Source organism: Homo sapiens, chromosome 21 (assembly GCF_000001405.40).
Source record: "Homo sapiens chromosome 21, GRCh38.p14 Primary Assembly".
NCBI classification, from domain to species: Eukaryota; Metazoa; Chordata; class Mammalia; order Primates; family Hominidae; genus Homo; species Homo sapiens.
In genome coordinates this window covers 36360098-36373586 of record NC_000021.9, presented here as the reverse complement: position 1 = coordinate 36373586, position 13489 = coordinate 36360098, and the positions used below count along the sequence as shown (strand labels likewise).

General features: G+C 41.9%; 1 protein-coding gene across 3 annotated transcripts in view, besides 1 other annotated feature; it reads right to left on the bottom strand.

The window, feature by feature from the left end:
* Positions 1–13489, bottom strand: part of MORC3 (MORC family CW-type zinc finger 3) — a 56436-nt gene that overhangs the window by 3046 nt on the left and 39901 nt on the right. For all 3 annotated transcript variants that reach the window (NM_001320446.2, NM_015358.3, NM_001320445.2), the window contains 5 exons: positions 13329–13403; positions 11359–11404; positions 9328–9494; positions 3711–4599; positions 1056–1213 (listed from right to left, as the gene is read on the bottom strand). In NM_001320446.2, coding sequence (NP_001307375.1) covers positions 1056–1213; positions 3711–4599; positions 9328–9494; positions 11359–11404; positions 13329–13403 — 1335 coding nt within the window. The remainder of the gene's footprint in view (positions 1–1055; positions 1214–3710; positions 4600–9327; positions 9495–11358; positions 11405–13328; positions 13404–13489) is intronic.
* Positions 8634–8810: a silencer, noted in NCBI's record as "fragment chr21:37737075-37737251 (GRCh37/hg19 assembly coordinates)". NCBI's record gives its function as "represses an EF-1alpha promoter that drives an FKBP-Casp9 reporter gene in an ReSE screen in HepG2 liver carcinoma cells {active_cell/tissue: HepG2}" and the evidence as "EXISTENCE:reporter gene assay evidence [ECO:0000049][PMID:32094911]".

The window sequence follows — 13489 nt, the reverse complement described above, 5'->3', positions numbered from 1 at the left end:
TGATGGCGCGATCTTGGCTCACTGCAACCTCCTTCTCCCAGGTTCAAGCGATTCTCCTGCCTCAGCCTCCCAAGTAGCTGGGGTTACAGGTGTGCACCACCATGCCAAGCTAATTTTGTATTTTTAGTAGAGACGGGGTTTCACCATGTTGGTCAGGCTGGTCTCGAACTCCTGACCTCAAGTGATCCACCCATCTTGGCCTCCCAAAGTGCTGGGATTACAAGCATGAGGCACCACGCTTGGTTTTAAGACAGAGTCTTGCTCTGTCACCCAGGCTGGAGTGCAGTGGCGCAATCTCGGCTCACTGCAACCTCCACCTCCTAGGTTCAAGCGATTCTCCTGCCTGAGCCTCCCGAGTAGCTGGGACTACAGGCGCCTGCCACCACGCCCGGCTAATTTTTGTACTTTTAGTAGAGACAGGGTTTCACCATGTTGGCCAGGCTGGTCTTGAACTCCTGACCTCAGGTGATCCGCCCAACTCAGCCTCCCAAAGTGCTAGAATTATAGGTGTGAGCCACCACGCCTGGCCTATCTACTTGTTTTAATAGGACTTCTTCCTAATATCATCTGTACTATGGCAATTTTTAATAATTTTGCAATTTCCTAAAAGATTAGAGTGAGCATACAGTGAAATAAGGACAGCAAGCCATAAAGACATGGTACCAAGTACGACAATAAAAGAAAAACAGGTTGAAGGAGTGAGTTTCAGTAAAAGTCTCCTGTCTTCTACTCATGGCCAAATTCCCCCTATTCTTCAATATCTTGTCCATTTTTATTTTCCTTCAAAAAGCATTCTAAAACCACTCTGACCAATCAAATGCTTTATCCCTTCTAAATTCCTATTCCACTTAAATAGAACCTAAAGGGTCAGAAACTGGAAAGGAAGGATAATGAAGTGTCACTTCTTTTTTATCTATCATAACACCAGGGTCACAGCAGACCATCAATAACTTCTTTTGACAGAACAGTATCTATTTGATGGGTGCTAGCAGATAAAAATAAATAGTATCCTAACCATAATTGCAGCCCCACAAAAACGCCTCATTTAATATTACCTTTCTCCATCCATATGATTTACAGACTCCTCAATGTTACTTGATGTTGAAACATCTGTTGCCGTCTGTTGATTTGTAGATTTTAACTGTTCTACTTCAGTTTTGAGTTCTTCACACTGTGAACGGATTTGTGACTTTTCCATTTCCAGCAATTCAACCTAACAAAAATATAAATGAGCTTTATAACTGTAAAACTTAAAAATACTAATGGCAAAGTGAAATTTCAAGCTAATATAGAGAACCTGCTTGATAACATTATCAACTATCAAAAAACAAATACACAAAGAAAAACCAGTAGTTTTCTATAAACAAGGCTTCATTCGTTTACAGCTTCACTTCTACATCTTTTTACACTGAGAGAATACAACATATTACCACTTGATTTAAAAAAAAAAGTGGTACCTAGAAAATGAAAAACCAGCCGGGCATGGTGGCTCACGCCTATAATCCCAGCACTTTGGGAGGCTGAGGTGGGCAGATCACCTGAGATCAGGAGTTTAAGACCAGCCTGACCAAAATGGAGAAACCCCATCTCTACAAAAAATACAAAATTAGCTGGGTGTGATGGCAGCCGCCTGTAATCTCAGCTACTCGGGAGGCTGAGGCAGGAGAACTGCTTGAACCCAGGAGGTGGAGGTTGCGGTGAGCTGAGATCACGCCATTGCACTCCAGCCTGGGCAACAAGAGCGAAGTTCCATCTCAAAAAAAAAAAAAAACAAAACAAAACAAAACAGAAAAACCAAGATACTAATGCCTAAATTATGTTAATGTCACAGTGGTTTTTATTTCTTGCATACTCATCAGCTTATAATTAAGTTACAATAATGAGTTTATGCTTTTTATAAACAGATGGTCCCTGACTTACAACGGTTTGACTTTATGATTTTCCAGCTTTATGATGGTGTGAAAGTTATATGCATTCTATAGAAACCACACTTTGCATACCAATACAATCATTCTGTTTTTCATTTTCAGCACAGATTCAATACATTACATGAAATACTCAGTATGTTGTAATAAACCAGACTTTGTGTTAGATGATTTTGCCCAAATGTAGGCTAACACAAGTGTTCTGAGCACTTTAAGGCAGGTTAGGCTAGGCTAAGATTTTGGGAGGTTGGCTGTAATTAAATGAATGTTGGAGTTAATGCTGTTTCCAACCTATGATGGGTTTTTCAGGACTGACACCATCATAAGTTGAGGAGCATCTGTATTTTGTCATTCAACTCCTGAGCCAAGACATCAAGATTAGTGTTTGCATGAGTAGCAAATATTCCCAAGGAAGAGACAGCACAGCACCACACCATGGTTCCCAAACTCTTTTTAGCAGGAAAATCCTTTCAAAGGCCTCACACACAAAAATGTATAAAATAGATTAAAAGGAGCTACCTGAATTTGAAGTAGGGGCATATGAAGAAGCTACTGATATTTATCATTTGTCTCTTGGTATTTATCGTTTTTCTCCTTCTTTCTCAGTAGAAGAACCCATGCATAAAGACTGCATTTCCCAGGCACCCTTTAGCCAGATGACTCAGTTCTGATAGTCAGAACACAAGCAACTCAGGCCAGGCATGGGGGCTCACGCCTGTAATTCCAACACTTTGGGAGGCCAAGATGGGTGGATCACTTGATGTCAGGAGTTTGAGATCAGCCTGGCCAATGTGGTGAAACCCTGTCTCTAATAAAAAGACAAAAATTAGCCGGGCATGGTGGCATGTGCTGTAATCTCAGCTACTCGGGACGCTGAGGCAGGAGAATCGCTTGAACTCGGGAGGTGGAGGTTGCAGTGAGCCGAGATTGGGCCACTGCACTCACTCCAGCCTGGGCAACAGAGCGAAATTCTGTCTCAAGAAGAAGAAGAAAAAAAAAAAAAAAAAAAAAAAAAAAAAAAATATATATATATATATATATATATATATGTATGTATGTATATTAATCAAAGATTTTAAAAGGGATAAGTCAGTTTCTCTCAGGAATCTTGAAAGACATAATCTAGAAAAATGAATGACTCCATAACTAAAGGATTAACTATACTTAAAAGCAGAATTGATGCCCAAAAAAGAACATAATTAACTGTATTAATGAGGTATTAAGTTAATATTGGTATTCTGAACAGGACATTTACCATACCTGGCTACCCCTAATATTTTTCAGGAATGCACATCTCAAGACATTGGAAGAACCAAAAATGCCCCTACACAATTCCATATGCCTCCAGGAGGCCCTCTCCTCAGTTGAGAACCAGTAGAATAACAGACACTCAATAAGAACAGAATTATTTTTAAGTGAAAGCATTCCAATCAAGCAATTGGCAGCTTTTTTTTGAGACAGAGTCTCGCTCTGTTGCCCAGGCTGGAATGTGGTGGTGCAATCTTGGCTCACGGCAGCCTCCGCCTCCTGGGTTCAAGTGATTCTCCTGCCTCAGCCTCCCACCACCACGCTAGGCTAATTTTTGTATTTTTAGTAGAAACGGGGTTTCACCATTTTGTCCAGGCTGGTCTCGAACTCCTTGACCTCAAGTGACTGACCCACCCGCCTTGGCCTCCCCAAGTGGTGGGATTACAGGTATGAGCCACCGCGCCCAGCCAACTGGCAGCTTCTTAAGGTTTAAATGGCCCTGGACTCCATGACTACATGTTGGATGATATAACTCACCTCACTTTTATACTGGTCCCTCTCAATACTGCATTTGTCCAGTTGTCTAAACACATCGTCAAGCTGCACAGCCATCTCATCCATTTCACTTTTACTCTCATTATTGGAACACTGGCTGCATTCAGCCTTTACATGTTGCAAAGCACTACATTGTTTTTTCAGCCTTTCTATTTCTTCCAAAGCTTGCTGATACTGAGATACCATATGGTCTGGACTTTCAGATTTGCCATTAATACTTTCAAGTAAAAATACAGCATCGGTTTCAGTGGACTGATGGCAAGTTTCTTTCTTAACATACTTGTCATTCATTTCTAGTATCCTCTGTTGTAACACTTTGATTTGATCAGTAAACATATGACACTGTCTTTTATAATTCTCTTTTTCCTCAGTGACAAGGAGTAGCTGGTTTCTCAGTTCTTGTAATTGGCAGCCTGCATCATCTGCAGATTTATCGGTGGTTTCCTGGGTTTCATGTATCTTTGCTTCAGCTTCTACACAGGAGGGCAGAATCACTGCATCATTTCTTACGTCTATCTCGTCTTCAACAGTTTCTTCTTTTTTAACAACTAAACTTGGTACTTCAGTCTGGGTAGCTGCAGTATTTCCCTGGTCGCATCGGGATGATGAGGTGCTTGTTGAACCAGTCTGGCCACAAGGTTCACTGTCACCCACAAACTCAACCTGAACACCACCTTGCTCAACGTGACTCTGTTCTGATTTCATGTCAATATCATGATCTACTGCAGGTTTGGGGGTACTGTTTTCTTCTAAGATGATGACATCTTCATCATCATCATCACCTTTATAAACTGAATTTTCAAACTGACTACTCAATCTCCGATTCTTTGCATTCAAAATTGAGGAACGAGTAGAAAGTCTCCGTTTCAAGCTGAAAAAAATTTTATACATAAAACATAAGATTATAAAATATGGACAAAATAGATGACCTTGAAGTAATCATTCTAACAAATGCAGTATTGTAACAGTTTTTTTGTTTTTTGAGATGGAGTGTCACTCTGTCGCCCAGGCTAGAGTGCAATGGCACAGTCTTGGCTCACTGCAACCTCTGCCTCCCAGGTTCAAGTGATTCTCCTGCCTCAGCCTCCTGAGGAGCTGGGATTACAGGCACCCGCCACCACGTCCAGCTAATTTTTATATTTTTAGTACAGATGGGGTTTCCCCATGTTGCCCAGGCTGGTCTCAAACTCCTTGAGCTCAAGCAATCTGCCTGCCACAGCCTCCCAAAGTGCTGGGATTAGACACATGAGCCACTGTGCCCAGCTATAAGTTTTGCAATACTAAGAAATACCCAGGCTCATTTTTTAAAGTGACGCATTGTATAGTACCAATCACTGATTTAATGAAGTAGAGATTATTTTCTCTTTTTACAGATGAAGACGATGGACTATTGAGATCTCTTTGAAGTACCAGATCTATTTACTGCCAAACATCTCTGCATTTGATCACCTCCAGGCATTTCAATGTACACATTTCCAGAACAGAATGCTACCCACCCCGGCCCCTTCTTTGTATTCTTCAGCTCAGGGAATGGCACCACCATTTTCATTTGCCCATAATAATTTTTATCAGTAATCAGTGATCAAAGATAAGCCATAAAGCAAACCAGTATTTATCCTTTCATATGAAATAATTTTATCTGAATTAAAATTGCCCCAATTTCTTCATTTGCATCATTCCCTGTTCATTCATGTTAATATGTGCATAGTTCACATTTATTTATCACCATTTGATTGCCTTTTTCCACACTTGGAGGAATATTTGTACTGGTTTGCTATTTGGGCCTTGTGTTAGACCTCCTAGATCTCAGGAAGGATTTTCCTCTTTTTTGGACTGTCTCATATTGGGCGAGCACAGCCTGCAACAGCATCTTAATGAAGGGTACACAGAACATAACAAACGCAAAGTTTTGCATGATGAAAACATCTTTATTTCTCTCTCAAGTCTATTGCTAGCTTAACTGTTATATAGGCTTCCGGGTTGAAAAATTATTTTCTCAGAAATTTAAAAGCATCATTCCATTTTCATCTGCCATTCAAGTGTTTCTGCCATTCTAATTCCTCATCTCTTGCCCGTACATAATCTGTTTCTTTCTGAAAAAATCTTTTATTCCCTGCGTTAAAAAAATGTCATGATCCTATGTCTTTGAGTGGCTCTCCTTCCAGACATTATGCTCTGTAGTTAGTGGAAATGCAGTTTTTCTGGTATGATTTCCCATTCTGGAAGGCAGCTATGTTTGCTACACCATACCAGTGCCTACGTCCCATTCTGAAACTCCCTTATTCAGATGGTGGCTTTCCAGCACAGATACTGTATCTTTTCTTCTTTCTCTATCTTCCGACTGTTAAGCTTTTCATTCTAAATGATTTATTTATTCAAGTTTACATCACTTTCCCCCAATAAATTTCACAATGTTTTCTTCTATTCCCTTTGTTTCAGTCTGCTGTCCCATGTGGGAGATGACACATGTGGCTATCCAGGGCGATCTGCGTATACCTAAGAGTGAAACTGACTAGCAGTAGTTAGGGCTGAGCTTGTGATTCAAAGGGTGCTCAAACTGCCATCATCATTTAGGGCTTCTCTCTTGGAGCCCAGTGAGGAGGGAAGGGTGGATTTCTGACCATTCAGTATCCAAACTTTCCCTTACTCATTCTGTTTCAAAACAATGGCTCATGTACATCTTCAGCAGTAAAAACTGCTCCATAAAGTAAATTCCCTATCTTCTGACAGAGGCAGAGAAAGGGCACTCACCAGACTTTGCAGGTTGGAAAGAGGTCTCGACTTTAAGTTTCCAACCAAGCCTCTGGTTCTCACCCCTATCTATCTTCCACCTTCAGCAGTCCCCAATGCTTCCAAGTTAGGAGACTTTCTAGGGACCTGTGGCGTAAACTGGTTTCTACCATCCTCCAGCAGCTTAGGTTTCAGCTTCCCTTGGTTTGCTGTATCAAGTACTTCTTGCTTACTCTGCCCTGTTTAATTTGGAGTTACTCTATTCTTTTTCTTACCAAGCTCATTCCTATTTATATTTCCTAAGACTTAGATACACCCTTTCCACAAACTTTGGTTTATAAATTTGAGAATACGGCTTTAAAAACTGTTTAATAGGCCGGGCAAAGTGGCTCACGCCTGTAATCCCAGCACTTTGGGAGGCCGAGGCAGGCAGATTGCCTGAGCTTAGGAGTTTGAGACCAGCCTGGGCAATATGGTGAACCCCCATCTATACTACAACACAATAAATTAGCAGGGCATGGCGGTGTACATTTGTAATCTCAGCTACTCAGGAGGCTGAGGCAGGGGAGTTGTTTGAACCAGGAGGCAGAGGTTGCAGTAAACAGATTATGCCACTGCACTCCAGGCTGGGTGACAGAGAAAGACTCTGTTTCAAAAAAAAAAAAAGTTGTTTAATCAAAAATTTCCCTCTTTATTCTTGTCTTCCATTTTGATGACGGCCAACTTTTAAAAAATTTTCTTTGCAGCCATAAAAAAGAAAGAAATAATGTCCTTTGCAACAACATGAATGCAGCTGGAGGCCTTTATCCTAAGGGAATTAAGGCAGGAACAGAAAACCAAATACTTCATGTTCTCACTTATAAGTGGGAGTAAGTGCTAGGTACACATGGACATAAAGATGGGAACTATAGACACTGGGGACCACTACAGTGGGGAGAGAGGAAGGGAGGTGGGCAGGGCTGAAAAACTACATATTGGGTACTATGCTCAATAGCTGGGCGATGGTATCATTCATACCCCAAACCTCAGGATCACGCCATATACCCATGTAACAAACCTGCATGTACCCTGAATCTAAAAGTTAAAATCATTAAAAATACCTTTAATCTCTTATCTATAAACTACAAAACCATCCTTACAAAGAAAAGCCAAAAATGTTAAGGAGAACTGTAAAATATGAGTTCTTAATAAAGTAGCAATCCAGCTCCAAAATGAGTGTCCAATACACAGGTTATAAAGAGCAAACTGGCCGGGTGCTGTGGCTCACACCTGTAATCCCATTACTTTGGGAGGCCGAGGCGGGCGGATCACCTGAGGTCAGGAGTTCGAGACTATCCTGGCTAACACAGTGAAAACCTGTCTCTACTAAAAATACAAAAAATTAGCCAGGCATGGTGGTGCGTGCCTGTAACCCCAGCTACTCGGGACGCTGAGGTGGGGGAATCGCATGAACCAGGAGTCGGAGGTTGCATTGAGTTGAGATTGCACCATTGCACTCCAGCTTGGGCAACAAAAGCCAAACTCCGACTCAAAAAAATAAAGAAAGGAAGAGCAAACTATTCTAGAATATGCCCTCTTTGATTTATATATGCATAAAGGCAGTTAGTTATTTATAATCTTCCTTGGGGTCAAAAATTCCTTTGAGAATTTGATAAAAGTTACAAAACATCTCAAAAAAAATCTGGCCCCACTATCTTAGAGAAGCTTGTTTCAATGTTCCTCTTCGAATAACAAACATCAGTATAGTCAGTGTGATCCACTCGTTTGTAGACATCACATTCATTCTTCTTCACTTGTCTTCATTCTATTAAATTGGAAGAGGCCATCTACAAGACTACTGTTTTCAGAACTTCAGGAACCAACGTAAGTACCACCTCATCACAAAGCCTTCGCTGATCAATCCAGTCAAGATGGCTAACTATTCAATTCATGCATCACTTTCTCTTTGTCCCTTCCTTCTCCATCCACTCCTCCAATAAATTAAGTGCCTACAGTGTGCCATAGGCTTTGCAAAGAACTTCTGGGTCACTATAGTGTCGTACTGTTAATTGCTTCATGTTTTTTTTTTTTTTTTTTTGAGATGGAGTCTCGCTCTGTCACCCAGGCTGGAGTGCAGTGGCGTGATCTCGGCTCACTGCAACCTCCGCCTCCCAGGTTCAAGCGATTCTCTTGCCTCAGCCTCCCAAGTAGCTGGGATTACAGGCATGTAACGCCACACCCACCTAATTTTTATATTTTTAGTAGAGACGGGGTTTCACCATGTTGGCCAGGCTGGTCTCGAACTCCTGACCTCAAATGATCCACCCACCTCGGCCTCCCAAAGTGCTGGGATTACAGGCGTGAACCACCGCGCCCGGGCTGCTTCACATTTTTTTAAGTCCTGATCATCTTAAAAGCAGGAATTGTCATACTATATAGAAATTCAAACAGGTGAGAATGCGATCAAACTCTACAATGAATACAATTAATGCTTTTTTTTTTTGAGACGGAGTTTTGCTCTTGTTGCCCAGGCTGGGGTGCAGCCTCAGCCTCAGCCTCAGCCTCCGCCTCTGGAGTAGCTGGGATTACAGGTGCCCGCCACCACGCCTGGTTAATTTTTTTGTATTTGTAGTAGAGATGGGGTTTTGCCATGTTGGCCAGGCTGGTCAATTAATACTTTTTAACGAATTTAACAGGTGGCAGAAGTAGGGTTTAGCCTAAGTTTAGACAATAAAAGCAAGACAATTTGTCCTGAAGATTTTCACATTCATGGAACCTACAATTCACAATGGAACCTACAATGATCCCGAATTGCATCACTGTCACAGAAGTGTCAAGTAAAAGCTCTGTTTAATATTCCCCAAATGGAAAACCAATCTTAGCCACTGACCTGTTGCTCTCAGGTTCAGACTGAGGTGGAACTTGATGATTATTTAGAAGTCTTGTCGCATAAGAATTTGTTCCTTCTGAAAGATGTCTTCTTGGAACACTTTCCTTAGGAGAAGAAAAGCTTGGAGTTGAAAGAGCAGTTGGCCGAAACAACAGTTCAGCATTAATCTGTTGGAGGGAAAAATCATCACCTTAAAGGAACTATTTCTAGTGTGACATGCCCAAAACACAAGATATAATCTTCCTCTTCCCCCTTATCCCAGAAGACACAAAAACAATTCCAAACATGTAAATTCCTTGTGCTATACCAGGAATCAACAAGTAAACCAATGAACTAAATCCAGCCTGCAAGTAGGCTAAGAATGGCTTTGTATTTTTAAAAGGTGTGAAGAAACAAAGCAACAAAACAAAGAATATGCAACAGAGACTTTATGTGGCCCACAAAGCCAAAAAGATTTACCATGTGGTGACCTCTTTGCTACTAGACTTATCAAGACCCAAACTTCTCAAGCAAGAAGCACAACTGCCTACTTGCATTCAGATGGCCCCTGATTTACAATGGCATCAACTTTATGATGGTGCAAAAGCAATACCCATTCAGCAGAAACTGTACTTCGAGTACTCAAGCAATCATTTTTGTTTTGTTTTTCACTTTCAGTATTCAATAAAGTTCATGAGATACTCAACACTTTATGATAAAACAGACTGTCAGATGACTGCCCAATGTAGGCTAATATAAGAGTTCTGAGCACAATTAAGGTAGGCTAGGCGAAGCTATGATATTCAATAGGTTAAGTGTATTAAATGCATTTTTGATAACAATATTTTGTTTGTTTTTTGTTTTTTTGAGACAGAGTCTCAGTCTGTTCCCCAGGATGGAGTGCAGTGGTGTGATCTTGGCTCACTGCAACCTCCATCTCCCAGGTTTAAGCAATTCTTGTGCCTCAGCCTCCTGAGTAGCTGGAATTACAAGTGCCTGCCACCACATTATTTTTTATATTTTTAGTAGAGACAGGGTTTTGCCATATTGCCCAGGCTGGTCTCGAACTCCTGGCCTCAAGTGATCGCCCACCTCACCTTCCCAAAGTTCTGGGAACACAGGCATGAGCCACCACGGCTAAAAACATTTTCAACTTATAATGGGCTTATCAGGATGTAACTCTACGGTAAGCCTAGGAGAATCTATACTCAACCAAAGCTCTTTAACACAGTAAGTATTAAGACAGAAGAGAGAGGCCAGGCAGAGTAGTCAACACTGGGAAAAACACTATGGCTTTTGTCCCGGTTAGCACTAAAATATGGCTTCCTGGGTGTTCCTGGGATGTCTTCCTTAACTGCTTATCTAACAGTACAATTTTTAAAGTTTGTTTGCCTTTCCTCAGAAGATACCCAACTAAACAATCAAACTAACAGTTTGAATGATGTTGGATTAGGAAGAGTTGGAAAGGTGGGCAAGCAGAAGTACAAGAGAAGAAAATGAACTAAATAAACCAAATCCCTTTGATATGTATTAAACTTTAACATTCACTACTGATTAAACTAAGCACTACACAATATAAGACACAGCTATAAAATGGAAAGCTTGGACAGGTGTGGTGGCTCATACCTGTAATCCTAGCACTTTGGGAGGCTGAGATGGGAGGATTACTTGAGGCCAGGAGTTCAAGACCAGCCTGGTCAACACAGTGAGACCCCATCCCTATTTTATTTATTTTTTGAGATGGAAGTCTCGCTCTGTGGCCCAGACCGCAGTGCAATGGTACCAATCTTTCTCACTGCAACAGCTACCTCCCAGGTTCAAGCAATTCTCCTGTTTCAGCCTCCCGAGTAGCTGGGATTACAGGTATGTGCCACCACATCCAGCTAATTTTTGTGTTTTTAGTAGAGACAGGGTTTCACCATGTTGGCCAGGCTGGTCTTGAACTCCTGACCTCAGGTGATCCACCTGCCTCGGCCTCCCAAAATGCTGGGATTACGGGTGTCAGCCCCCATCTCTATTTAAAAAAAAAAAAAAAAAAGAAGGCTTAATTACCCGAGGGATCATTTCCGGTTGTCTGATCCTGAATTTTTCCTTGTTGCTTTAAAATAAAGATGAAAAACATGTTGTTATTTCTCAATCCCATTTCCCAATGACATACCTGCCATTTATGCAGTTACTAAGGTACTCTGAACTCTGCTTCTATTTCAATATAATCAACAGTAAGCCCTTCAGGAAATACTTTCTACCTTTTATCTCAGTAGCACCCTAATTTTAGCCTGAATTTTTCCATCCTCACCGGTATAAACTGCAGATCTTTGGTGTTTTTTTCTCCACTAAGACCAGATAACTCAGTCCAGAATCACAGGCTTTTGAACTAGAACATCACATAGGTTTTTTCTTTTGAGAGGGAGTCTTGCCCAGGATGGAGTGCAGTGATGTAATCTCGGCTCACTGCAACCTCTGCCTCCCGGGTTCAAGCAATTCTCCTGCCTCAGCCTCCCGAGTAGCTGGGATTACAGGCGTCCACCACCATGCCCGGCTAATTTTTGTGTTTTTTGTAGAGACAGGGTTTCACCACATTGGCCAGGCTGGTCTCGAACTCCTGACCTCAGGTGATCCGCCCAACTCAGCCTCCCAAAGTGCTAGAATTATAGGTGTGAGCCACCACTCCTGGCCTGTCTGGGATTACAGATGTGAGCCACCACACCTGCCTTTTTTTTTTTTTTTTTTTTTTTTTTTTGAGACAGAGTCTCACTCTGTCGCCCAGGCTGGAATGCAGTGGTGTGCTCGGCTCACTACAATCTCTGCCTCCTGGGTGCAAGTGATTCTCCTGCCTCAGCCTCCTGAGTAGCTGGGATTACAGCATGCACCACCACACCCAGCTAATTTTTGTATTTTTAGTAGAGACGGGGTGTCACTATGTTGGCCAGGCTGGTATCAAACTCCTGACCTCAAGTGATCCACCCACCTCAGTCTCCCAAAGTGCTGGGGTTACAGGTGTGAGCCACCACACCAGCCCACATAGGTTTCTATACTTCCAATACTATTGCTGGATTTCACTAAAGAATAGTACACTACAAATCAAAGCCACCTGAAAGGCTCTTAGTAACCTGGCCTTCTGTGTGTGGTAGATTAGCCTGAAGTCTCCACTGGCTGACTATCCTTATTCAGCATCTGTCCCACTTCCACTATCTTTTTTTTTTTTTTTAAGATAGAGTCTCACTCTTGTTGCCCAAGCTGGAGTGCAGTGATGCGATCTTGGCTCACTGCAACCTCTGCCCTCCAGGTTCAAACGATTCTCCTGCCTCAGCCTCCCGAGTAGCTGGGATTACAGGCACCTGCCACCACACCCGGCTACTTTTTGTATTTTTAGTGGAGACGGGGTTTCACCACGTTTGCCAAGCTGGTCTCGAACTCCTGACCTCAGGTGATCCACCCGCCTCAACCTCCCAAAGTGCCACATCCATTTTCCATTATTCCCATTCACATACTCTAGCTACACTGAGTAAATGTTTATTCCCTGTACATTCTCATCGTACCCATCCTTCAAGGCCTATTACAAAAATGACCTCCTTCATGAAGTTTCCTGATCTATTTCTGCTCTCCTGCCCACCAGACAGAACTACTCTCCCTATGAGCTTCCTTACAGCACTGGACCAGAGCTTCTATGGCACTCACCAACACGTAACTGGTAAAATTCATGTATCACCTCTTCTGTTACACCTTCTCTATAAGCTTCAATGGGGGGGGTATTCACTAATGATTCCTCTGCATACAGCTCACAACAGCAGACTGCTCTTACACAAAACATCCGCACATATGGCAGCAATAAGCATGAAATAAACAGCAGGTATCCACAGCATAAGTTTTTGTTTTTAAAGCCCTTGATATTACGCACTCCACATTATAAACTTTTTCAGTTACAGGTGCTTTACCTTGGAGAAGCATCAAATAATGTTGCCAAGGCATCACTGTTCATGATCTGGGCATTATTACCCACTATACATCAATACAACACTCACGTCTTTTTGTAGGTTTTTTCATAAGTGGGATGTACCAAATCCTCATCTTCAGGTTCTTCTGGAACCTCACAATTTCTATTCAGAAAAATCACATAGGAATAACATGTCACCAGCGCCTATTCATACACTGTGAACAGTACTTTCCGTCTTTCCAAAAAGGG